At 39.8% G+C, this 27470-nt stretch overlaps 1 long non-coding RNA gene and 2 pseudogenes across 2 annotated transcripts in view; 2 read left to right on the top strand and 1 right to left on the bottom strand.

The window, feature by feature from the left end:
* Positions 1-27470, top strand: part of TBC1D3P1-DHX40P1 (TBC1D3P1-DHX40P1 readthrough, transcribed pseudogene) — a 56690-nt pseudogene that overhangs the window by 16455 nt on the left and 12765 nt on the right. Inside the window, exons 4-12 of the transcript NR_002924.3 lie at positions 231-350; positions 854-928; positions 1302-1368; positions 4361-4460; positions 6559-6645; positions 13254-13334; positions 14994-15151; positions 25828-25942; positions 26466-26574. The product of NR_002924.3 is annotated as a TBC1D3P1-DHX40P1 readthrough, transcribed pseudogene (transcript). The remainder of the gene's footprint in view (positions 1-230; positions 351-853; positions 929-1301; positions 1369-4360; positions 4461-6558; positions 6646-13253; positions 13335-14993; positions 15152-25827; positions 25943-26465; positions 26575-27470) is intronic.
* DHX40P1 (DEAH-box helicase 40 pseudogene 1) lies at positions 231-26583 on the top strand (annotated as a pseudogene).
* RNFT1-DT (RNFT1 divergent transcript) overlaps positions 5626-27470 on the bottom strand; it is a 31877-nt gene continuing 10032 nt past the window's right edge. Inside the window, exons 3-4 of the long non-coding RNA NR_110815.1 lie at positions 9619-9710; positions 5626-6978 (exon numbers count right to left, since the gene is read on the bottom strand). This is a non-coding gene — a long non-coding RNA (RNFT1 divergent transcript). The remainder of the gene's footprint in view (positions 6979-9618; positions 9711-27470) is intronic.

Below are 27470 nucleotides of genomic sequence, written 5' to 3'. Positions count from 1 at the left end.
GATTTTTGTTGCTTTGTCCAAGAATACCCAAGTGAGTTATTTGTCCGTTTTTCTGTATAGACAGCATGTTTTGTAACTTACCATCATTTTGTATACATAAGTTAGACTATTTTTATGTACCCTTTTGTTTAGTCAGATTGGTTTGATCACTTAATGTTTGTACCTCTTGAGGAAAAATTTAGTTGGGAAAATAGTGGTGAATTCCTGTGACACTGCTGTTTGAACATTAGGAGACAGCAATCAAATATATGACTGATGGATGTTTACTGAAACATATTCTGGGAGACCCAAGTCTTACCAAATTCAGAGTCATTATTTTGGATGAAGCCCATGAAAGAACTCTAACTACAGTGAGTATTTTAATTTATTATTATTTTTTATTAGCAAGTAGTTTGTTTGGGTAGCTTTTTATTGTGTAGAGAATTGCCTCCTCTTACTTTTTAATTTAATTTAATTTTTTAGAGATGGAGTCTTGCTCCATCACCCAGGCTGGAGAGCAGTGGCACGATCATAGCTCACTGCACCCTTGAACTCCTGGGCTCAAGTGATCCTCCCACCTCAACCTCCTGAGTTGCTGGTACTGCAGACGTGCATCACCATGTCTGGCTAATTTTTAAGAATATTTTTTGTAGAGACAGTGTCTCGTTTTGTTTCCCTGGCAGGTCTCAACCTCCTGGCCTCCGACCTTGGCCTCCCAAAGTGCTGGGATTACAGGTGTGAGCCACCGCACCTGGCTCCTACTTATATTTTAATGTATTAAAATAGGAATTCCTTGGTTAGAACAGCAGCGTATTTAGAATAGTTTGGCTGTTAAGTGTGCTTGTGACTTACTAGAAATTTACTTTTCTTTCAGGATATCTTATTTGGTCTATTGAAGAAGCTATTTCAGGAGAAGTCTGCTAATAGGAAGGAGCATTTAAAAGTGGTGGTAATGTCAGCAACTATGGAATTAGCCAAGCTCTCTGCATTCTTTGGAAATTGTCCAATATTTGATATACCTGGAAGGCTTTATCCAGTCAGAGAGAAATTCTGCAATTTGATTGGTCCACGAGACAGAGAAAATACTGCGTATATTCAAGCGGTATTACTTGGCATTCATTTAATGTCTTTTTTAAATATCTATGATTCTTACTAATTGGGTGGTTTGATAATTCATTTGTTCACTACTATTTTAATGACAGTCCTCACAGGTCCTAGAACTTTTAAGAACCAAATTTAATTTTTCTGTGGGGCAAGGGAAGTGGTGGTAAGGGAATGACTGTATTTCCACTAGCATATTATGCCTGCATTTCTTGCTTTAGATTGTGAAAGTCACCATGGATATCCATTTGAATGAAATGGCTGGAGACATCTTGGTTTTTCTGACTGGTGAGCATTCAGTATCAAGTTAAAAAACTTAAGTATTTGTAAGTAAGGAATGTGGCACCCAGATAGAGTGCTACCTCTGTTGGGAATTCTGTGCCCTTCTCAAGTGTTGCCCTAGCTTTTTCTGATTATCTGAATAATTTTAGGTAAAAGATAGATAAAAATTGTAAGCTAGCTGCCAAAGAGGATTATATATATTTATGTCAAAGACATAATAGTATGTATATATATTTTATGTCAAAGACATAGTAGTATATGTCAAAGACGTAATAGTGTATATGTATATATACACACACATATATGTCAAATGTCAAAGACATCAGGCTCATTAGTAAATATATGTAAAACACACTGACCTTTTAATAGAAAGAAATTAAATAGTGAAATATTGTTTTTTGTTGGTCTGTCTTAGATAGAAATGAAACCTGACTAAACAGACCTGAGTTAATTCCATTATTTCAAAGGACATTTCACCAGGTTCTTCTTTGGGTGGTGGCATTGTACTGTGTGATAACAACACATAAGGTGTAGAATCTATGTGTCGTAGACAAGCATGTGGCATTTTTGGAGATCAAAAATAAAATAGTTAAATCCCAAACTAGTGGCATAACTTTTCAAGTAGCAGCACCCTCCTAATAGGAATTAGTAGTTTCCTTGTTTACCTTTTTCCTCTGCCTTGTACTAATGTCAGAAGTAAGGGATTGTCACAATCTTTGCCTTTTTGGAGATTACTTAAGTATTTTGAAATTTAACCAAATGCAATAGCACCTGGACTAGCTTTTCTCCTTTGTTAACAATTTGGTGAGTCTTCTCAAATACAGGGTGAAAAGCTTGACGATGATAAATATTTTTATTCCTTTAGAGATTTAAGTTTCTTAGAAACTGATGTTTCTTCTACTTCGAATTTTATTGTTGAAATATGGTACAGCTTATGTGTTCATCTCCTTTACATTAAATGAGAGATTTACAATAACTTTTAGGCAAAATTAATTTTAATCTTGACATTTTCTTTATTTTTAAATTAATTTTTCTGTTCAGTTGCTGAAGTTATTTTTTTCTTCCCATTTTAGGCCAGTTTGAAATAGAAAAAAGTTGTGAGTTACTTTTTCAGATGGCAGAGTCTGTTGATTATGATTATGATGTTCAAGATACCATCCTCGATGGCTTGTTAATATTGCCGTGTTATGGATCAATGACAACTGGTAATTTCTCATTAGAATAGAAAATTTGATTTTTTTAAAAAACTTTTTATTGAATAATCGTGTTTACAGAAAAGCAGTCAGATCTTAAGTGCTTAGGTAAGTTTCACAAACCAGTCTCACCTTTGTAACCCACATCCAGATCATGAAACAAATCAGTGAGAACCAGCATTCCTTGACAGTAGTGATTTTTGCCTGAAGTCTTTTTACATTCACTTTTTTGAGAGTCGTGGATATCCCCCTTATTATCGTTTAGAGTATTGTTTCTCCCAGCAAAACAAAACTATTGGTGAGAATTCTTTGAAATGAGGACAGTAGTTTCTTGCTGGTATTACTGTAAGTCAAAACCTAATTTGCCATTGCCACAGAATTTTTAGAAATTGTGTATATCCAGCTATATCTAAGTCTAAACACAGTGGATTGTTTTCTTTTTTTTTTGTGATGGAGTCTCGTTCTTGTCATCCAGGCTGGAGTGCAGTGGCGCAATCTCAGCCCACTGCAACCGCCACCTCCTGGGTTCAAGCGATTCTCCTTCCTCAGCCTCCCAAGTAGCTGGGATTGCAGGCGCTCGCCACCACACCTGGCTAAGTTTTGTATTTTTTTTTTTTTTTTTAGCAGAGATGGGATTTTGCCATGTTGGCCAGGCTGGTTTCAAACTCCTGACCTCAGGTCATCTGCCTGCCTTGGCCTCCAGAATTGCTGGGATTACAGATGTGAGCCACCATGCCTGGCTGTGGATCATTTTCCTTTTAAAGTAGCCATGCCTTAGTCTGCTTTTCAAGAATGATCCTGTTCTTTGGTGAATTCCAAGAGCAAATGCAAACTCTTGATTTGACATTTTGGTTATAGTAAATATTGTTGAATGAGGTTTAGAATTTGTTTTATAAAACTTTTATTATGGAATTTAACTTGTAAAGTTAAAGGGAAATTAACCTTAGCCTCCTATTTGGAGTTGGAATTAGCATTTGAATGTTTTTATATTTTACATGTATGTGTATTAACAGCTTTTGTTGATTGGGTGATTCTTATCCCTATATTAACAAAGTTTTGGAATATATGTGTCAGTAAAGAACATAGATGTGCTATTTTGGAAATCTTTTTTATGATGATATTAGCTTCTTACTCTCTATTAAAGCATAGATATCTATTTTAGATTTTGTCATCTTCAGGGAAATTCTTAGGATCATTGTTTAAGGTTCTCATTGTTTTCTCAAGATTTGGTTCACTGATGCTTTTATAATTTACATTGAAACTGATAAAAACCCATTATGTTTGGTTTGTTATTAATCATTAACTAAATATGTACATAGACATATATTTTTCTATACAGAGTAAATAATTTCATTCTTTCTTACTGCTACATTGAAAATAATGTTCTGGATTTTCTGTTGCCTCTGTTTTTTTTTTTTTGTTTTTTTGAGATGGAGTCTCGCTCTGTCGCCCAGGCTGGAGTGCAGTGGCGCGATCTTGGCTCACTGCAACCTCTGCCTCCCAGATTCAAGCAATTCTCCTGCCTCAGCCTCCCGAGTAGCTGGGACTACAGGCGCGCGCCCCCACGCCCTGCTAATTTTTTGTATTTTTCTTAGAGACAGGGTCTCACCATGTTAGCCAGGATGGTCTCGATATCCTGACCTTGTGATCCTCCCGCCTCAGCCTCCCAAAGTGCTGGGATTACAGGCGTGAGCCACCACGCCCGGCCTAGAAACATGACTTGTAATGAAAAATTGAGTTCTTCAAAACTCGAGTTTGACACATGCATGTTGTAAATTGGTATTTTCTTTTTATATATACTTTAGATCAACAGAGGAGGATATTTTTGCCACCGCCACCTGGAATTAGAAAATGTGTCATATCCACCAATATTTCTGCAACGTCTTTGACAATAGATGGAACCAGGTAAAACTTTTGAACTTTCTCTTAAAGTCAAGGAAGCCTATCGTTACTAAACATTAGCTAAACATTACTGAGTTTGCTTTTCTGTGCCCTCCACTAATTCCCTTCTCTCCTACTTTTTGATGTTCTTAACATGTAATCACCTATTTTGTTTTGTAATTATTGATTGCTTTGAGCAGGAAATGGAGTAGGAGGTACATACTATATTCCTATTCACACTTTTTGTTTTTTTAGAGACAGGGTCTCATTATGTTGCTGAGGCTGGAATATAGTGACTATTCACAGGCGTGCAGTCATAGCACACTACAGCCTTGTATGGAGATCAGCCAATCCTCCCGCCTCAGTCTCCTGGGTAGCTGGGACCACAGGCATGTGTCACCATACTTGGCTGTTCACACTTTTTAACTACTTGGCAACTTGAAGCTTCTTTTCAAATTTAAGATTATGTATAATGCTTTATGGGTTTCACTAAATAGGAAGCCAAACCTATTTTTCTGTACTCCCATTATAAGCATATACCTTAGATGATTTGATATTTCCTTCTACCTTGCAGCCTCACTCGGTAGAGTTTGTATATCCAATGTTTATCTGGATGTATTGTCTCTGACTTTTTACCTTTTTGTGAAAATTAACTATGATTCAGGTCCCTTATCTTTTCTGGATGTAGTAAATAGTGCTATCAAATTTTTGGGTAAATTTAGTAAGGAAACACAAAGAAATTTTAAGTCTGGACTGACAACTAATGCAAAGTTCTTTAAGACTGGGTTATTTATCATTTACCGAATATATTTTATTTCTTTAGCTAAGTCTGATTGTCTGTCTCCGGAAGGCTGAACCTGAATCTCAAAGATCCTGTGTGTTTCTTCTGGGTAAAATGATCACCCAGGTCTGAGAGGAAGTCTAATTTCCTCTGCTTTTCTTCGTTACTTTAAAAATAATGGTTTCACTAAGGGATTAAGGGAGTGCTCTCCTGGGTAAATTAACCTCTGTAATTTTCTGTTTCCTGCACAGGCAAAAGCCATTAAATAGCATGTTTCAGAATGTTGTCTTGTTACTGCTATCCTACTTTGGTTCCTTACCTGACTTGTTCACCATTTAATTGGCTTAGAATGGCATGTTAAGGGCTAGTTGAAATTAGATTCTGAATCTGTTTAAATGGTCTGAAGCTGACTTTCAAGTTTGTGTATTTTTGTATTGAGGCAAAATTCACATAAAATTAATCATTTAAAATGAAAAATTAAGTAGTACTTAGTACATTTACAGTATTGCGCAACCACTGCTTCTGCTTAGTTCTAAAATATTTCAACACCTCAAAATAAAACCCCATACCCATTAAGCAGGTACTCCACATTCCCCTCTCGACCCCAGCCCTTGGCAACTACCAGTCTTACTTTTTGTTTGTACGTATTTTCTTTTTTAAAAAATTCTTTAGATGTGTCAGCAGGAAGCAGTAGGTATTTTCTATTCTGGATATTTCATACAAATAGAATCATATAATATGTGGCCTTCTGTGTTTGCTTTCTTTCACTTAGCATAATATTTTTGAGGTTCGTCCACATTGTAGCATGTATCAGTACTTCATTCTTTTTTGTGGCTGAATAATATTGCATAGTGTGTGTGTGTATATATATATATATTCCATTGTGTGTGTATATATGCGTGTGTATATATACTACATACATATATGCAAAGCAATTTGTTCATCCCTTCTTCCATTAATGGTTAATGGACATTTAGGTTGTTTTTACCTTATGGCTGTGATTCATAGTGCTGATATGAACATTGGTCTATAAGTATTTGTTTGAGTACTTGTTCTCAGTTCTTTTTGGTGTACACTTAGAAATGGAATTGCTGGATCATATGGTAATTTTGTGTTTAACTTCTTGAGGACCTCCGAACAATTTTCCACCTCGGCTGAACCATTTTACATTCCCACCAACAACATACGAGGGTTCCAATTTCTTGACTTTCAAGTTTTACACTTAACATAAAAGGCATTGTGTACCTGCTAGTTTGCTAGAAAAGGAGAAACCAAAGTGGTTAACAATTAACAAGTCTTCTTTTATTTTCCAGAAACTTAACTTGCTTTGATTCTTCTTAGATATGTGGTAGATGGTGGCTTTGTGAAGCAGTTAAATCACAACCCCAGATTAGGGTTGGACATCCTGGAGGTGGTTCCAATTTCAAAGTAAGTCTCTATGTCAAATCTTTTTATTCAAAGAACAACTGATTAGGTAATTTCTAGCTGTTTTGGGGAGACAAAGTAAATTACCTGAGAAACCCACAGAACATTTTGGGGAATTTTTGGGTTTTTTTCCTTTTGTAGGAGCGAGGCATTACAGCGAAGTGGCCGAGCTGGCAGGACTTCTTCAGGAAAATGCTTTCGGATCTATAGTAAAGATTTTTGGAACCAGTGTATGCCTGACCATGTGATCCCTGAAATTAAGAGAACTAGTTTGACATCTGTAGTTCTGACCTTAAAGTGCCTTGCCATACACGATGTCATAAGGTATGTAGACAACTAGAAAAAAAAGGAAAAACTTGTTAGCCTGGAACCAAGTTATTGGCTCAAAAATTATTTTGAAATATTTGACTGATACATCCCTGAGAGTTGAGGCTAACCTCTTTTACAGGTTGGTTTTTATATTGGTTGCTTTTCTTTTCTTTTTTTTTTTTTTTTTTTTTTTTTGAGATGGAGTCTTGTTCCGTTGCCCAGGCTGGAGAGCAGTGGCACGATCACGGCTCACTGCAACCTCCGCCTCCCGGGTTCAAGCAATTCTCCTGTCTCAGCCTCCCGAGTAGCTGGGACTACAGGTACCTGCCACCATGCCCAGCTAATTTTTGTATTTTTAGTAGAGATGGAGTTTCACCTTGTTGGTCAGGCTGGTCTCGAACTCCTGACCTCAGGCGATCCACCCACCTCGGCCTCCCAAAATGCTGGGATTACAGGTGTGAGCCACTGTGCCTGGCTCTATTGGTTGCTTTTCAACTAAACTAACACAGAAGACTTCCTTGCATTGCTTTAGTAGGATCTCTTGCTCATGTTTAACCTTGGCTTAATGGCGGGGTTAGGGGGTTGTGCTGATGTTTATGTGGATCACTTAGTGACCACTGTTTATTTGTAATGAAAGGTATATAATGAGCTGGGCATAACAGCTTATGCCTGTAATCTCAGCACTTTGGATGGCCAAGGTGGGAGGGTTGCTTGAGCCTAGGATTTCGAGACAAGCCTGGGCAACATAGTGAGACCTTGTCTCTACAATTAAAAAAAAAAAAAAGTCTGATATGGTGCATGCTTGAGTCCCAGATATTTGGAGGCTGAGACGGGAAGATTGCTGGAGCCGGGCAGGTAGAGGCTGCAGTGAGCCATGATTGCACCACTGCAGTCCAGCCTGGGCAACAGAGTGAGACCCTGTTTCAAAAGAAGGGGGCTGGGCGTGGTGGCTCACGTCTGTAATCCTAGCACTTTGGGAGGCCAAAGTGGGCGGATCCCTTGAGGCCAGGAGTTTGAGACCCGCCTGGCCATCCTGGCAAAACCCTGTAGCTACTGAAAATATAAAAATTAGCTGAGCTTGGTGGCACGTGATTGTAGTCCCAGCTACTCCGGAGGCTGAAGCACGAGAATCACTTGAACCCAGGAGGCAGAGACTGCAACGTGCCAAGATCACACCACTGCACTCCAGCCTGGTCAACAGAGCGAGATTCTGTCTCAAAAAAACAAAACAAAACAAAAGGGTATACAGTTGGAAAGTGGAGTGTTTTTTTTGTATGGCCAGCATCATACTATATACCATGAAAGACAGAGTAATACTCTGTAGTTTTTTGCTTTCACTAAGCTTAAGTTATATTAGGAAAACAAGGTTCAGACACGTGAAATAAAGGAAGAACAGTTAAATTAGCCAAATATTAATATAATTTATTGGTATAAGATAGAATATTGTTATAGATAGAAATTTCTATCATACATGGTAGGGGAATTAATGGAGGAAAGTACTATCTTCTTTATTTTGGTCTTAATTGCCTTGGAATGTAAAACTGCTCAGGAATTTTGGGGGATGGTAACCGTGCAGTTTTTAAATTCATAGTAAGTGATTATTAGGTGCATCCAAATATGTATTGTAGGCCGGGTGCGGTGGCTCACGCCTGTAATCCCAGCACTTTGGGAGGCCGAGACGGGTGGATCACCTGAGGTCAACCTGGCCAACATGGTGTAACCCTGTCTCTATTAAAAATACAAAATTAGCCAGGATGGTGGTGCTCGTCTGTGATCCCAGCTACTTGAAAGCCTGAGGCAGGAGAATTACTTGAACCCGGGAGGCAGAGGTTGCAGTGAGCCGAGATTGCGCCATCGCACTCCAGCCTGGGCAACAAGAGCGAAACTCTGTCTCCAAAAAAAAAACAACCAAAAAAAGCAAAAAAAACCCCAAAACCCACAAATACTCATTGTATACTCTTGGAAAGCCAATTTGCCAATTTCAAAATGTTTTGATAGTTATCATTAGACTAGAGATTTTCTGAATGAGAATATGTAGATACTGGAAAGAGAAAAGCATGTAATAAATGAAATTCTGACTGTAGCAATAAATTATACCAATGAAAAGAAGGAAAGCGCCATTTAAAGAAATCCAAAGAGCCCAATAGAAAACTTTCAGATGAACCCAGATATTAAAATAATGTCTTGATTTTTTTCATTTGGGGAAAAAGGGCCATTTTTGGAAATAGCTGCTCAGTAAGTTTGACATTGACTCTTAGTATATTCACAAAGGATAGCAGAGCAGCCTCTAACCAAGAATGAGTATATATTAGAAAAATAGGAACAATAATTAATATCATCTGCATTGAATTATTTTTCCATCTTAAGTCTTAAAAGCCATAGTGTACTAAAAATCGCAAAATTTTGTTTCAAAATGCTTGAAACAAAAAACAAAGACTTCCTTTTTAAAAAGTTGTATAAAGAATAAGGAGAGGTAGAGCCAGTGTTTGGGGTAGATGGTATAGGATTCATAGACGACAGAAAGAAAATGGACCTTCTCAATTATTATTTTGCTTTCCCTTTCTTTTCCATCAGGAAGAATAATTTTAAAGCTGAAAATGCAAGAACAGGTCTGAATAAGAAGGAATTGATGACTAAGGTGGAAGGAAATAATGAGGGAAAACCTACCACCATAAGTGATTTTGTCTTGAGCATTTAGACATTATTTCCGTGGTGTTAAAAGAACTTGCAGATTTAGCGTCAGAGTCACTGTAGGTCATCTATGAGAAATTATGCAGAATACGTTATCAGAAAATGGTGAGAAAGGCAAAAGTCTTAATTTTTTTCATTTGGTAAAAAGGGCGGGTTCTGGAAACAACTACCCAGTAAGCTTGACATTGATTACTAGCGAACTCTAGTACAGTTTATTGAAAAATGGTTTAAGGAAATTTAATGACGATTAATGAGTATGAATTTTAAAAGTTCACAATGAATATGTCATTTTTTGTTGTTGTTGTGTTTGGTTTTGGTTTTCTGAGGCAGGATCTCACTCTGTCACCCGGGCTGGAGTGCAGTGGCACAATCTCAGCTCACTGCAACCTCCACCTCCCAGGTTCAAGCGATTCTCGTGTCTCAGCCTTCTGAGTAGCTGGGATTACATGCGTGTGCCACCATGCCCGGCCAAATATGTCATTATAAGCCATTTCCTTTTCAGTTTGAGGACAGGACCGTCCACATAATGGGTGCTCCACAAGAATTTATTGAAATTTAACCTAATGTCTTTTATTTTCAGCACAGTATTTAACAATACTGCATTTGATATCTTGTGAATAAAAAAGTAGTCTGTAGATGACAGTACTGCTGAGTATAGTTGCCAGATAGCCCAGTCTAGAAAAGTATTAATTAATTGCTTAGTGTAGACTAGATGAAGTTTTTACTGGTATTGTGCTGAACTTAGTTTTTTCTTGATAAACATTTTTAATGATACTGAATAAAAATATTGAAGTTATGATTATATTTTTCTGGAAAATATCTTAATATCTAATAGGTAGATGACCAAGCTTTAAAATGACTTTAACAGATTAGAACCATGGGCAAAAATCAACAGGGTGTAAATTTGAAAGGATATATCTTATATCCTGTGTTTGGGATGTACAATAGCAAATACATGTGGTAGAGATCTGAAATTATCAGATCATCACAACCTTAATATTGGCTTATACGTATGGCTCTGTTTAAAAAATTTTTTTTTAGGCCGGGTGCGGTGGCTCACGCCTGTAATCCCAGCACTTTGGGAGGCCACAGTGGGCGGATTGCGAGGTCAGGAGATGGAGATCATCCTGGCTAACACAGTGAAACCCCGTCTCTACTAAAAATACAAAAAATTAGCTGGGTGTGGTGGCAGACGCCTGTAGTCCCAGCTACTCGGGAGACTGAGGCAGGAGAATGGCGTGAACCCGGGAGGCGGAGCTTGCAGTGAGCCCAGATCGCACCACTGCACTCCAGCCTGGGCGACAGAGCAAGACTCTGTCTCAAAAAAAAAAATTTTTTTTTTAATTCCACTGGCATAGACTTTGGTTACATTAATAAACTAGGTGATGGGGAATTACAGCATTCCTGTTATGTGTTGGTCACTCAACATTTGGAGTTCAGTTTTGGATATAATCAAGTTTTATGAGGAGTTTGACATACTAGTGTTTTTAGAGAATGGTACTTAGGTATGGTAGATCTCTTAGAAACCAAGTAACTTATAAGGAGTGGTTGACAGAATTGGTAATTGGAGGAATCAAGGGGGGAAATTAATTGCAATATTTTAGAATAAGTAGTTTTTCCTTTTATATAGAAGAAGCAGCTGACTGGTTTGGTATTGCTCTAGCACAAGGGTGGCAAACTGTGGTCTAATCTCACTGACTGTTTTTGTAAATAAAATGTTAGAATGCAGCCATACCCATTTGTTTATGTGTGGCTGCTTTCACTGTAATAGCATGGTTGAGTAATTGTGACAGAGACCATATGGCCTGCAAGCCTAAGCTATTTACTATCTGGCCCTTTACGGAAAATGTTTACCAATTCTTGCTGTAGAAGCTACCAGGACCTATTGGTACAAATTGTAGGAAAGCTGGCAGTAGAACAGTGTAAGAGATTATTGTTTGCTTATTATTTTTTCTTTTTATAAGAGATGGGATCTTGCTGTGTTGCCTAGGCTGTTGTCAAACTCCTGAGCTCAAGCAGTCCTCCTGCCTCAGCCTCCCAGAGTGCTGAAATTATAGGCGTGAGCTACCATCCTTGGCCTTGTTTTATTTATTTATTTTTAAATAGGGTTATCAATCCTGGAATGGACATTTTATATAAGGTATTGGACCTTTTGTCTTCTATTGGATTTTTTTCAAGGTGAGAAGTTGGAGTAGATGATTTTTCATATCCAGATTTAAGGTGGAAAAAATAACCCAGTGCAGATGATATCAAGTAATTATTTTTCCTGTTTTTAAAAAATATATATTCATGTTTGATGATGCTATCCCTTTTGAATATTATTGTTAATTGTTAATTTTATTATATTTATTAATAGCGCATTATGGTGATGTAAGAGAATGTCCTTATTTTCAGGAGATGCATGCCGAGATAGTTGTAAGTGTGCAATGGCATTGTATTTGCAACTTATTCTGAGATAGTTTGGCAGAAAATAAGTACATACACATGTACACATATGTGACACAAATATGGCTAAATTAATTGAATATATTTCCCCATTTATATGAAAGCATTTTGTCCGGCCGGGTGCGGTGGCTTACGCCCGTAATCCCAGCACTTTGGGAGGCTGAAGTGGGTGGATCACCTGAGGTCAGGAGTTTGAGACAAGCCTGACCAATATGGTGAAACCCCGCCTCTACTAAAAATACAAAAATTATCTGGGCATGGTGGCAGGTGCCTGTAATCCCAGCTACTCAGCAGGCTGAGGCAGGAGAATCACTTGAACCCAGGAGACGGAGGTTGTAGTGAGCCGAGATTGCCACACTGCACTCCAACCTGGGCAGCAGAGTGAGACTCCGTCTCAAAAAAAAAAAAAAATTAAATTGAATTTAAGAAGCATTTTGAGGCTGGGTGCGGTGGCTCACGCCTGTAATCCTAGCACTTTGGGAGGCCGAGGTGGGCGGATTGCTTAAGCACAGGAGTTCAAGACCAGCCTGGGCAACATGGTGAAACCCTGTCTCTACTAAAATACAAAAAATTAGCTAGGCGTGGTGGCATGTGCCTGTAGTCCCAGCTACTCGGGAGGCTGAGGCAGGAGAATTGCTTGAACCTGGGAGATGGAGGTTGCAGTGATCAGAGATCGTGCCATTGCACTCCAGCCTGGGCAACAGAGTGAGACTCCATCTCCAAAAAAAAGCATTTTGAGGTACTATTGAACAATTTATAATTTTCAGTACTAATTAATATTTCTCTACTATTAATACTTCTCTACTATTAATATTTCTCTACTATTTTTATAAAAGTTTGGAAAAAAATTATGGACTGCAGAAAAGAGTAGACTTGACATAGGCTGTGAAGGATGGGTGGGGCAGGATTAGGATAAGTAGACTGGTGAGAGTATTTCAGCTAAGGGGAGTCAAAAAGAATCACTTCTTGAAGTAGAGGAGTGTGATTCAGAAAAAAATTATTTCCTCTTTTGCCAAATGCTGATCATGATCATATAATTTTTTTTTAGAAAAAGATGACTTGAAAAATAGAAATAAAACCTTTTAAAGAAATTTTCGTCATATCTATATAAAATCCTACCATGTTCAAGGAATGCCTCTCACTTCATATCTTATTTAAACACACAGGTTTCCCTATTTGGATCCACCTAATGAGAGACTTATTTTAGAAGCTCTTAAACAGCTTTACCAGTGTGATGCTATTGACAGGTAAAAAAAAAAAAAAATCACAATCAAAACAGATATTGATCTCCTTTTAAACAGGGCTCTAAATACCTTTCTCTAACAGTAGAAAATAATTTCTTTAAATTGAATGGATTGTTAGTCTTTCATCACAATTCTGATTGAAAAACCAGCCGGGCGCTGTGGCTCATGCCTGTAATCCCAGCACTTTGGGAGGCCGAGGTCGGTGGATCATGAGGTCAGGAGATCGAGACCATCCTGGCTAACATGGTGAAGCCCCGTCTCTACTAAAAATACAAAAACAAAATTAGCTGGGCGTGGTGGTGGGCGCCTGTAGTCCCAGCTACTCAGGAGGCTGAGGCAGGAGAATGGTGTGATCCTGGGAGGCAGAGCTTGCAGTGAGCCAAGATCATGCCACTGCACTCCAGCCTGGGCAACAGAGCGAAACTCTATCTGAAAAAAAAAAAAAAGGAGAAAGAAACTACACGATATAATCCCTTTTGTTTAATAAATATTGGTATTATTTAACAAGTAATTTCTGAGTACCATTTCAGTGCCAAGCATTATGCTGGATACATAAAAATGATAAGAGAGCCAGAGTCCTTGTTTTCATGTTTGTGTGATGGGGTGGTTAGGTTTGATATTAATAATTATTATTCTCTTGGATGTGCGTGGTGGCTCACGCCGGTAATTCCAGCACTTTGGGAGGCCAAGGCGAGCAGATTGCTTGGGCCCAGTTGTTCGAGACAAGCCTGGGAAACATAGTAAAACCCATCTCTACTGAAAATACAAAAATTAGCCAATGGTGTTGGCACACGCCAGTAGTCCCAGCTACTCGGGAAGCTGAGGTGGGAGGATCGTCTGAGCTTCGGAGGTGAGGGGTGCAGTGAGCTGAGGAGATTGCGCCATTGCACTCCAGCCTGGGAGACGGAGCAAGACCCTGTCTCCAAAAAAAAAAAAAAAGGTAAAATTTAAAAAATAAAATTATTATTCTCTCATGTCTTCAAAGACATCTTCCTTTTTTTTTTTTTGAGACGGAGTTTTACTCTTGTTGCCCAGACTGGAGTACAATGGTGCAATCTCACCTCACTGCAATCTCCACCTCCCAGGTTCAAGCAATTCTCCTGCCTCAGCCTCCCAGGTAGCTGGGATTATAGGCATGCACCACCATGCCCAGGTAATTTTTTTATATTTTGGTAGAGATAGGGTTTCACCATGTTGGTCAGGCTGGTCTCAAACTCCTGACCTGAAGTGATCTACCTGCCTCGGCCTCCCAAAGTGCTGGGATTACAGGTGTAATCCCCCTCAGCCTCCTTAGTAGCTTTGCAACCTTTGCCTCCCGGGTTTGAGTGATTCTCCTGCCTCAGCCTCCCAAGTAGCAGGGACTACAGGCGCATGCCACCACACCCAGCTAATTTTTGTGTTTTCAGTGGAAACGGGGTTTTGCCATGTTGGCCAGGCAGGTCTTGAACTCCTGACCTCAGGTGATCCACCTGCCTCAGCTTCCCAAAGTGCTAGGATTACAGGCATGAGCCACCACGCCTGGCCTAATTTTCTTAAATTGAATTGAACTTCTGGAGGTGATTGGAGGTAATGTAAATTATATCTGATTTATTCTGAATGATGAATGTTACATTTGTACTCTCCTAGTGTAGAAAGACTTACAAACTTTTTCTTTGTATTAAGGAGTGGCCATGTCACCAGATTGGGTTTGTCTATGGTGGAGTTTCCTTTGCCTCCACATCTGACATGTGCAGTAATAAAAGCTGCTTCCCTGGATTGTGAAGATTTACTACTTCCAATAGCAGCAATGTTGTCTGTGGAAAACGTCTTCATTAGACCTGGTAAGATGTTTATTTTAAGTTGTGTTTTTTAAAACTAATAGACTTGGCTGGGCACGGTGGCTCACGCCTGTAATCCCAGCACTTTGGGAGGGCAAGGCAGGTGGATTGCTTGAGGTCAGAAGTTGGAAGACCAGCCTTACCAACATGGTAAAACCCCATCTCTACTAAAAAAAAAAAAAAAAAACACCAAAAAAAAAATTAATAGACTTTATTTTTTAGAGCATTTTTAAGTTTACAGAAAAATTGAGTAGAAAGTACAGAGGGTTGACATTCATCCCCTCAACCTCCCACAGCAATTTCTCCTATTAACATCTTTGATTTGTATGACATATAAGTTGCAATTGGTGAGCCAATATTGACACATTATTATTAACTAAAGGGATCACTCTTTGTGTTATATGGTTTTAGCTGGGATTATAGGCATGTGCCACCACGCCTGGCTAATTCTGTATTTTTAGTAGAGGCGCGGTTTCTCCATGTTGGCCAGGCTGGTCTCGAACTCCTGGCCTCAGGTCATCTGCCCGCCTTGGCCTCCCAAAGTGCTGGGATTACAGGCGTGAGCCAGCACGCCCAGCCGGGTTGTTTTCTTATTGTTAAGAGGTCTTTGCATATTTTAAATAGTTATTTAACAGATAGATCTTTTGTAAATATTTTCTCCCAGTCTGTGGTTTATCTTCTAATTGTTTTGACATTGACTTTTGCAGAGCAGAAGTTTTTATTTTTGACGAAGTCTACCTTATCAATTATTTCTTTCATAGATTGTGTCTTTATTGTTGTATCTAAAAAAGTCATTGTCGTACCCAAAGTCATCTAGATTTTCTCTTCTATTGTCTTTTAGTATTTGGACGCACAGTTGTTGCGGTACCATTTGTTCAAAACACTGTCCTTTTTCTGTTGAAATGCCTTCGCTTCTTTGTTAAATATCAGCTGACTATTCTTATATGGGTCTGTTTCTGGGCTCTGTATCTTGTTCCATTTATCTGATTGTCTGTTCTTCCACCAATACCACACTGTCCTGGTTATTGGAGCTTTATAGTAACTCTTGAAGTTTTGTTCTTCCTCTTCAAAATTGTTTAGGCCATTCTGGGTCTTTTTCATATAAACTTTAGAACCAGTCTGTTGAAATCCACAAAATAACTTGCTGAACTTGCTGGGATTTTTTTTTTTTTTTTTTTGAGATGGAGTCTTGCTCTGTCACCCGGGCTGGAGTGCAGTGGCCTGATCTCGGCTCACTACAAGCTCTGCCTCCCAGATTCGTGCCGTTCTCTCGCCTCAGCCTCCCGAGTAGCTGGGACTACAGGCGCCTGCCACAACGCCCGGCTAATTTTTTGCATTTTTAGTAGAGACAGGGTTTCACTGTGTTAGCCAGGATGGTCTCAATCTCCTGACCTTGTGATCCACCCGCCTCAGCCTCCCAAAGTGCTGGGATTACAGGCGTGAGCCACCGCGCCCGGCCCTTGCTGGGATTTTAATTGGGATTATGTTTTAATTAAGATAGATTAAGTTGCGAAGAAATGACATCTTGACAGTATTGTCTTCCTATCCATGTACATGGAATATCTCTTCATTTATTTAGATTGCCAGTAATTCATTGAGCATTTACTGAGGGTTTACCGTGCCTTAGCCCTAGGACAGAAAACTAAGGATAAACAAGTTTTGTTGTTGTTGTTTTTGAGATGGAGTTTCACTCTTGTTGCCCAGGCTGGAGTGCAATGGTGTGATCTGGACTCACTGCAACCTCCTCCTCCCAGGTTCAAGCGATTCTTCTGCCTCAGCCTCCCAGGTAGCTGGGATTACAGGCATGGGCCACCACGCCTGGCTAATTTTTGTATTTTTAGTAGAGATGGGGTTTCACCACGTTGGTCAGGCTGGTCTGGAACTCCTGACCTCAGGTGATCTGCCTACCTCGGCCTTGGGATTGCAGGCATGAGCCACCACGCCCAGCCCGGCGTTAATTTCCTTTCATTAGTAAAGGAAGATAGTGCTTTTATAGTACGTTAGTAATTTACTAATTTTTTTTTTGTAGGATCAAAAGAAAAGGTAGTTTAGCCCTTGCATCCTTAGAGAATTCTTTTGAAGTTTCCAGGTCTTTAAACTTCTGCTTCTTTCTTTTCTTGGTGTGTCAGTATAGGACACAATTTAATTTGACATATGTTAGATTTGTTTTCATGCAGTGGAGTAATTTTTTCTTTCAAGGAGCTTCCAAGTGAACAGTATACCTTGTCTGCAGCCAGACAACAGAATGGGTTAGCTCACTGGCTTTATACCTTTGTAGGCTGGAAGTGTCGGGTCCAGATTAATTTATTATTGCCATGATTATAATGGAGGATACATTTTTCTATAAAAATACTCTAATCAATATACTGTTTCAAATAGTTTGCAGTCTTTTTTTTTTTAATTTAAAAAATTTTTAAATTTTATTGAGACAAGGTCTCACTGTGTTGCCCAGGCTGGAGTGCAGTGGCGTGATCTTGGCTCATTGCAACCTCTGCCTCCCAGGCTCAAGTGATCCTCCCATACCTCAGCCTCCCCAGCAGCTGGGACCACAGATGCTTGCTACTATGCCTGGCTAATTTTTTGTATTTTTATAGAGATGGGGTTTCACTCTGTTGCCCAGGCTGGTCTCGAACTCCTGAGCTCAAGTGACCCACCAGCCTTGGCCTCTTAAAATGCTGGGATTACAGGCCTGAGCCATTGCACCCAGCAGTTGCAGTCTGAAGTGTCAGAATTTTAATTCTAGTAATACCCCTAATTGCAATTTTTTGTTCTAATAAAATGCTGTATAAAAATAAGTAATGTTAACTGGTTTTCATGAGGCAGTATCAGAGCTAAAAATACCAGTGGGCACAGTGGTATCCCAGCTCCTTGGGAGACTGAGGTGGGATGATTGCTTGAGCCCACGAGATCAGGGCCAGCCTGGGCAACATAGCAAGACCCCATCTCTGATAAGAAATTAAAAAATAGGCCAGGTGTGGTGGCTCACACTTGTAATCCCAGCACTTTGGGAGGCTGAGGCAGGTGGGTCACCTGAGGTCAGGAGTTTGAGACCAGCCTGGCCGACATGGTGAAACCCTGTCTCTACTAAAAATATAAAAATTAGCCAGGCGTGGCGTGCACCTGTGTTGCCAGCTACTGGGGAGGCTGAGGCAGGAGAATTGCTTGAATCCAGGAGGCGGAGGTTGCAGTGAGCTGAGATCGTGCCACTGCACTCCAGCCTGGGTGACAGAGTGAGACTCCATCCCCAAAAAGAAAAAAGAAAGAAAGAAATAAACAAGCTAAAATATTTCAAAACCTATTACAGAGTATTGAAGTAGGAGTTAAGAGTGCAGGGTTCTGTCCAGCTCCACTACTACCTAATTATCTGACCATGGCCCTAGCTTTTCTAGATTTCATTTTTCATTTGTAAAACCAAGAAGTTGGATTAAGGTGACCAACTCTAATAGTCTTTTAAGGCTAGAAAAAGAAAAATGTTTTTTCCATGTTGGAATATTTAAATAGATAAAATCAGTGTGGTGTTAGCCTTTTTTGGGTGACATTTATTCTTATATAATTTCAAATAAGAATAGCAAAGGAATTCCTTTATACCTTCTATGCAGTTTCCGCAATTTTTAACATTTTACCCCCTTTGCTTTATTACTCTGTCTCCCTCTATATATGTATATATAAACAGATTTTTTTCTTTTTCTGAATCATTTAAGAATAAATTGGAAGCATTGTGCTCCCTTACCACAAAATATTTACATCTGTATTAGGCAAGAACAAGGGCAATCTCTCATTTAACCATAGTACATTAATCAAAATTAGGAAATTGTTTTGTTTTGTTTGAGAGAGAGTCTCACTCTGTTGCCCAGGCAGTTAGTGCAGTGGTGGGATCATGGCTCACTGCAGCCTTGACCTCCCGGGCTCAAGCAATTCTTCCACTTCAGCCTCCTTAGTAGCTGGGACCACATGCATATGCTACCATGCCTGACTAATTTTTAAAAATTTTTTGTAGAGATGAGGTCTCCCCATGTTGCCCAGGTTAGTCTCAAACTCCTAGGCTCAAGCAATCCTCCTGCTTTGGTCTCCCAAAGTGCTGGGTTTACAGGTGTAAGCCACTATGCCCGGCCTAAAGTTTGGAAATTTAACTTTGATACAATATTACTATCTAATCCAGAATCCATATTGAAATTGTCCATTTTCCCTAGAATCTACAGAAAGTAGTTTGAGAATTGGTAAGTTATAGTACTGTGAAAAACAACCCTATATAACTACAGTTTGATATTTGTTTACAGTTAATTTTAGGTAAAATTTACATATAGTGAAATGCATAAATTTTAGGTGTATAATTCAATGAATTCTGTAAAATGCTTATACCCATGTAACCCAAGCCCTGTCAATATATAGAACATTTTTATCACTAGCAAGTTCCCTCAGTGCCACTTCTTAGTCAGATATCACTCTACCTACCTTTGGTTAAACACTTTTCTTATTTTTTTCTGATTAGTTTGCCTCTTCTGAAACGTCATATAAATAGAATTTTTTTTTTCTTTTGAGACAGAGTCTTGCTCTGTCATCCAGGGTGGAGTGCAGTGGCACAATCTCGGCTCACTGCAACCTTCACTTCCTGGGTTCAAGCAGTTGTCCTGCCTCAGCCTCTGGAGTAGCTGGGATTAGAGGTCCCCGACACCATGCCTAGCTAATTTTTGTATTTTCAGTAGAGACGGGGTTTTGCCATGTTGGCCAGGCTGGTCTCGAACCCATAACCTCAGGTGATCCATCAGCGTCGGCCTCAGCCTTCCAAAGTGCTGGGATTACAGGTGTGAGCCATTGTGCCCAGCCCAAAACTTCATATAAATAGAATTATACACTCTCCTTTCTTGTGTCTGGCTTCTTTCAGTCAACATAATGTATGTTAAGGTTTATTCATATTGTTGTATGTATGAATACTTTATTCTTTTTATTGTTGACTAGTATTCCACTTTATGAACATACAGTTGTGCATTATCCTGTTGATGGACATTTGAATTGCTTCTTGTTTAGTTCTATTTTTGAGTAAAGTTGTTTTGAACATTCTTGCACAAAAATTTGAAGGTGTTTATTTTCATTTTTCTTAGATAAGGTAAATGCCTAAGAAAGAAATTTGCTGTGCCATCGAGTAGGTATATGTGAATCTTTAAGAAACTGCCAAACCTTTTCCCTGAACAGTTGTACCATTTAAAAATCACATCAGCAATGTTTGAGAGTACAGCTTGCACTAAACACCCCTCTCAACATTTGGTATTGCCAATCATTTTATTTTACACATTCTATTATGTACCTCTTTGTGGTTTTAATTTGCATTTTCCTGATGACTAATAATGTTGAGCACTTCTTCATGTGCTTATTGGCCATTTTTCTGTCTTCCTTTGTGATGTCTTTTAAAATATTTTGCCCATGTCTTTTTATTTTTGAGACGGAGTCTTGCTCTGTCGCCCAGGCTGGAGTGCAGTGGCATGATTTTGGCTCACTGCAACCTCCACCTCCTGGATTCAAGCAATTCTCCTTCCTCAGCCTCACAAGTAGCTAGGATTACAGGCTTGCATCACCATGCCTGGCTAATTTTTGTAATTTTAGTAGAGACGAGGTTTTGCCATGTTGGAGGCTGGTCTCAAACTCCTGACCTCCTGACCTCAGGTGATCCGCCCACCTTGGCCTCCCAAAGTGCTGGGATTACAGGAGTGAGCCACCATGCCCGGCCCCTTGTCTTAAATTAAAACAAAAAAAAAAAAAAAAACTTTAATTCGTGGATTCTTTCTTCTGCCAGCCCAGATCTACTGTTGAGCCCCTCTATGGCAGTTTCCATTTTGTTTCTTGTCCTTGTCAACTCCAGCGGTCAGTCAGTGATTGGTCGGAGGTTGTACCTAGCTAAGCCTTTTAATTTAAGCCAGTGATGTTTTCACCTTTTACTGTTGAATCTGTGTTTCTGGTTAGGAGACTACTTTCATGGTTGAGGGAGTTGATGAATTTGTACTGTGTTCAGCCAAGGAGTAGAGGCTCAGACGTTCCCTCTCTATTTACTTCTCAGAAGGCACAGCTTTGGGCATGAGAACAATCTTCTAGAACACCAGGAAGACTATGCTCTTAGCAGGTCTCTGTTTCCTTCATTGATTTCTTCATTGAATTTTTGGCTGGTCTGTCTCTATTGGTGTCACAGCAAGCTGTTAGTCTCCACTGATTGCTAGCTGCTGGCTCTGTTGTTTTTGACAGTGCCCAGAGCATAAATTGCGCCATAGTCTTGATCCAAATAAAGTTGGGCACCTCGGCAGGGGCAAGGTATTGCCCGTCTTTGATAATCCTTTCCCCATCCTTTCCTGGAAACAATCTCTGTGCTATGGAGCAGGAGTTGGAGAGGGTGGTGGTGGTAATGGGGGCCTGTTCTTCAGTGGCTCTCCTATCTGGGTCCTCCCTAAATAGCAGAAGCTTGGGGTTGGGGAGTTAGGAGCTGATACTATGGCTCACTTTGCATCTTCCTCAGCACAAAGCCTTTTGAGATGCAATCTCTGGATGTTCACTAGTTGCAAACATACAAACCTGGAATAGCTCTAGGAAACTGGGAGTAGTGGGAACTACCACTGAGCTGCTGAACCCATTGGAACAACTCTTCTGCAACACAGAGCTGTGGGGAATAGAGGACAGCGTAGGCTGTCATTAGCTGTTATGCTTTGATCTTCCCTACCGAGTAGCATTTAGGAGTCAGGGAAAGGGTGCCGCTTTCAGGCTGCCTTGAAGGCTCTCGCATAGCCCTTCCACACACACAGCTGTTGAGAGTGGGGCATTCTTCCTACTGTCCTTACCGAATTCCATAGATTAGGCTTGTCTTAAGCATTTTAATCAATCTCCAGAGACTTTGAATGATTGTCTTTGGTAATTTTGACTAGTTTAATAGATGTCTCTCTAGAAAAGAAGTTTTACCTAACTCCTCACATCACCATTCCCAATACAGTTGACCCTTGAACACACAGGTTTGAACTGTGCAGGTCTACTTATTTGTAGATTTTTTGTTTTTTTGTTTTTTTTTTTTTTTTGAGACAGAATTTTGCTCTTGTTGCCCAGGTTGGAGTGCAGCGGCACAATCTCAACTCACCGCAACCTCTACCTCCCAGATTCAAGCAATTCTCCTGCCTCAGCCTCCCGAGTAGCTGAGATTACAGGCATGTGCCACCATGCCCAGCTAATTTTGTATTTTTAGTAGAGATGGGGTTTCTCCATGTTGGTCAGGCTGGTCTCGAACTCCCAACCTCAGGTGATCCTCCTGCCTCGGCCTCCCAACATGCTGGGATTACAGGCGTGAGCCATGCACTCGGCCAATTTTTTTCAATAAATATATTGGAAAAGTTTTTGGAGATTTGTGACACTTTGAAAAAACTCACAGATGAACTCCGTAGCCTGGAAATACCAAAAAAATTAAGAAAAAGTATGTCATGAAAACATAAACTATGTGTAGGAAATGCTGCAGGATAATTAAGGAATCAGAGAGACCGAGGGGTTGAGGAGGAGTTATTTAATTATTTAGGTGCACCAACCCAGTTGGATTAACATCCAAAGGACTGAGCCCTGAACAAAGAGTCAAGCTACCTTTTAAGCATTTCGTGGGGCGGGGGGAGATCTGTGCAGGGGGAAGCATATTACAGAAGTGAGAAACAAAGACAGTTATTTAATTAAGACGTGCATTACATTATTTCTTACTTTTCAAGGAACAACATGTTTTACGACTTGAGATTATCTGTCTAGTGACCTTGAAGCTGCACAGCTCGAGAGTCTTCACAATGCCTGGGAAGGGGTGAGATAAGGCTCACTAGCCACAGAGAGAAAAACAGGCAGTTAATTTTAAAGGACTCCAGCTCTTTCTCTTCCTCGGGGAATTGGGTTTTCTTACATACAACTGAGTTTTTGCTTATAAAGTCTTTAATTTCTTTTAATTCCTGTTCCAGTACTAGTCTGTTTTATAATTTACTACCATAAAATATACACAAATCTATTATAAAAAGTTAAAATTTATCAAAAATGCATGCAAACACAGACTGCATGGTGCCATGATTCTAGGGATTCCAGGAGGCACTGACTCACAGGTAGGCTTTTCTCCTGGTATTGAGAGCCAGGATGGGGTCGATGCTGGAGTCTAGGGCAATTTGACTTTTGGCATGATATCTTCTGGGGGATGGCAGTTAGGTGCTTAAAATGAAATATTTTGGGTTAAAAATTAGTATCCCTGGCTGGCGTGTTGGCTCAAGCCTGTAATCCCAGCACTCTGGGAGGCCAGGGCAGGCAGATCACCTGAGGTCAGGAGTTCAAGGCCAACCTGGCCAACATGGTGAAACCCCATCTCTACTAAAAAATGTAAAAATTATTTGGGTGTGGTGGTGTGTGCCTGTAGTCCCAGCTACTTGGAAGGCTGAGACAGGAGAGTCACTTGAACTTGGGAGGTGGATGTTGCAGTGAGCCAAGATTGCACCACTGCACTCCAGCCTGGGCAGCAGAGCGAGACTGTCTCAAAAAACAAAACAAAAAACAAAATTAGTCTCCCGGAGCAGTTCAAGAAATGGAGATTAATAATCATTTATATCTTTTCCTTACCAGGGTCATTTGTATGTTTGTATGGTCTGAGATAAATCGTATTCTTTTTTTTTTTTTTGTCTCTAGCTGCTTCATTCAGTTGCTACCTAGGTAACATAGTTGGAAGCTACTTAAAGCATGGGATAGAAGACTTTATACCTTCATCAGTGTTTTCTTTAATCAAATTACTTTCCTCCTAGTAACAGGAACTGCTGCTTTGCAGTTTCACATCGTATTCTATAGTAAATGCTGCTCCCTGGATTCAGGCAACATTGTGCCTCTGCTAGATCTAGCTGTGATAGGTATAGGGAATAGGAATTGTGATGTGACGTGTTAGATTGAAGGAAAGGATCCCTATGCAGTTTTGAAAAAATGGCACTCTGAAAGATTAGCCCTGGATAAAGTGCTGTATGGGGAATTTGGGCAATCAGAGAGCACATGAGTCCTGAATGGGATCAGGGGAAGTGGTATCGAAGTAATTAACAGATAAATCTCAAAAACGTAATGTTGAGCAAGAGAAAACAGACACATCAAGTACATACTATACGATTCATTTATACAAAGGTTAAAAATGGGCAAAACCCATCTGTAGGATTAGAAGTCAGGATATAGTTATTCTTGTGGAAGGGAATGGGTAGTTACTCGAAGGAGGGCATAAAAGGGGGCTGTTGAGATGCTGGTGATACTGTTTGTTGATCTGGGTACATTGGTATGTTGTGTTTGTGAATATTATATGAGCTACACACTTACGTCCTGTGTAATTTTCTGTATGCATATTATACTTCAATATTACATTAAAAAAGAAAATGTTCGTAGTAGGTCAGTTCTGCATATATGGAGATCATGTCTAATTGCCCATAATTGGGAATTGGATAAATAAGAACTGGTTAAATTGTGTTATGTTCCCCATACTCCTGGGGAATACCGTATCATTGTTTTTTTCTTTAGACAAGGTTTCACTCTGTTGCCCAGGCCAAAGCGCAGTGATGCGATCACGGCTCACTGTAGCCTCAACCTCCTGGGCTTGGGCCGGGCACGGTGGCTTATGCCTGTAATCCCAGCACTTTGGGAGGCCGAGACGGGCAGATCACAAGGTCAGGAGATCGAGACCATCCTGGCTAACATGTGAAACCCCGTCTCTACTAAAAATACAAAAAATTAGCCGGGCGCGGTGGCGGGCGCCTGTAGTCCCAGCTACTCGGGAGGCTGAGGCAGGAGAATGGTGTGAACCCGGGAGGCGGAGCTTGCAGTGAGCCGAGATCGCCCACTACACTCGTCTGGGCGATAGAGCGAGACTCCGTCTCAAAAAAAAAAACAAACCTCCTGGGCTCAAGCGATCTTCCCACCTCAGCCTCCTGAGTAGCTGGGACTACAGGCATGCATCACCATGCCTGGCTAATTTTTGTATTTTTTGTAGAGACAGGATCTTGCTTTGTTGCCTAGGCTTGTCTTGACCTCCTGGGCTCAATTGATCCACTTGCCTTGGCCTTTGAAATTGCTGGGATTACAGGTGTGAGCTACCACACCTGGCCCTATATTGCTGTTTTTGAGAGAGAATAATTTTATGTGTACTGATATGGAGTTGTTATTAAATAAACAAATTTTCAGATTATATGTTCCATTTATAGAAAAATGAAACATTATGTACATATGCTTATATATACATAGAAATTACCTGGAAGGACACACACTAAATAATGAACAGTACTTTGCCTTGAGGATTGGTTTATGGGTAGTGTGACTGGGGAACATTGAACTTTTACATGATATTCTTTTATACCATTACATTTTTTTTTCTGTAAGCATGGATTACTCTTATAACAAAACTAATTTAAAAAGTAAATTACAAATACTATTTTTAAAAGGCAAATAGATTGGGAGAAGTGATGTTGCTATTCAGGTAAAATCTCCAAAGTGATATGAAAAGAAAAAAAGGAATTGTGGGAGAAATAGAGCTTCCTAAGAGAAGTTAAGAAGAGTTAATATAGTTCTACCTTACTTCACCCCAGAGGATGAGGCAGATTTTAATGAGTTTCTGAAAGCAAAGTGATTGTAGGCACTTAATGCAAAGTATAACTGAATTGCCTCTCCAATTCTTTTAGTTGATCCAGAGTACCAGAAGGAAGCAGAACAGAGACATCGAGAATTGGCAGCTAAAGCTGGAGGATTTAATGACTTTGCAACTTTAGCTGTCATCTTTGAACAATGCAAATCAAGGTATGTAAGGTAGTCCTTTGTCCTGAAAAATGTCAATTTGATGTGTAGTTCCAATACGTACTTATGATGTGGCTTGTGACACTAACGTTCAGTGAAGATGATATTGACTTCAAGGTATTTTGAATTTCAGTGAAATTATCTATGTCAGATGACTATTGCTTAGTAGGCATTTATTATATAACATTGATTCTCTTGTTTCCTCCTCAAACCTTTACTGAAAATGACCTTGTAGAATTTTGCTTCTATATAGGTAGCCTAGATTAAAAAATGATTGGATATTTGTTATTGCATATATAAGTAAAGAAATCCATTTACAAATTATTTTTTAATTTAGTCAGGGGCACATTCATTAATTTAAATGTTTTTTTCAAGTTTCCTAAAATTCTTTTTTAGTACTTGGACAGGTCTCCTGAAGGAACTGACAGTTGTTTATGGGTTTCCACTTTTGTAATAGAAATGAGAATTTTAGATTGTCTTTTACTTAGAGAAGATATTTTAAAGATACCAGTTTTTTGTTTTGCAGTGGAGCTCCAGCTTCATGGTGCCAAAAACACTGGATTCATTGGAGGTGCTTATTTTCTGCATTTCGTGTGGAAGCTCAACTTCGAGAACTAATCAGGAAGCTTAAACAGGTGATTGCCATAATGTTTTTTTTCTTGAGTAGCATTTTGGACCTATATATTTCATATTGAAGTTTCATTGATGTACATTAGCACCCTTTCTATTCTACCACCCTTCCATTCTATTTGTTTCTATGACCTCCTTGACCCCATGAAACATTCCTAGTAGTGATAAAAGAATTGTCTTCACAGAAATGAAGATATTTAAAAATTGCTTTCCTGATATATAATTGACGTGTGATAACCTACACATATTTAATGTATACACTTTGATGAGTTTTGACATTTGCGTAAAACAACTATCAAGATAATGGTACATATCCATCATCTCCCAGTTTTCTCATCCTCCCCCCCACCCTTTTTTTTTTTTGAGATGGAGTCTCACTCTGTCACCCAGGCTGAAGTGCAGTGGCGTGATCTCGGCTCACTGCAATCTCCACCTCCCAGGTTTAAGCAATTCTTCTGCCTCAGCCTCCCAAGTAGCTGGGATTACAGGCTTGCGTCACCACACCCGGCTAATTTTTGTAGTTTTAGTAGAGATGGGGTTTTGCCGTGTTGGCCAGGCTGGTCTCAAACTCCTGGGCTCAAGTAATCCACCTGCCTCGGCCTCCCAAAGTGTTGGGATTACAGGTGTGAGCCCCCGTGCTCAGCCTGTTGGTGTTTTGTTTTGTTTGAGACAGGGTCTCACTCTGTTGCCCAGGATGAAGTGCAGTGATGCAATATGGGCTCACTGCAACCTTTGCCTCCTGGATTCAAGTGATTCTCATGCCTCAGCCTCCTGAGTAGCTGGGACCACAGGTGTGTGCCACCATGCCCGGCTAATTTTTGTATTTTTAGTAGAGATGGGCTTTTACCATGTTGCCCAGACCACTCTCAAACTCCTGAGCTCAACCAATCCTCCCACCATG

Source organism: Homo sapiens, chromosome 17, assembly GCF_000001405.40.
Source record: "Homo sapiens chromosome 17, GRCh38.p14 Primary Assembly".
Classification (NCBI taxonomy): domain Eukaryota; kingdom Metazoa; phylum Chordata; class Mammalia; order Primates; family Hominidae; genus Homo; species Homo sapiens.
This window is presented reverse-complemented; position numbering and strand designations above follow the sequence as displayed.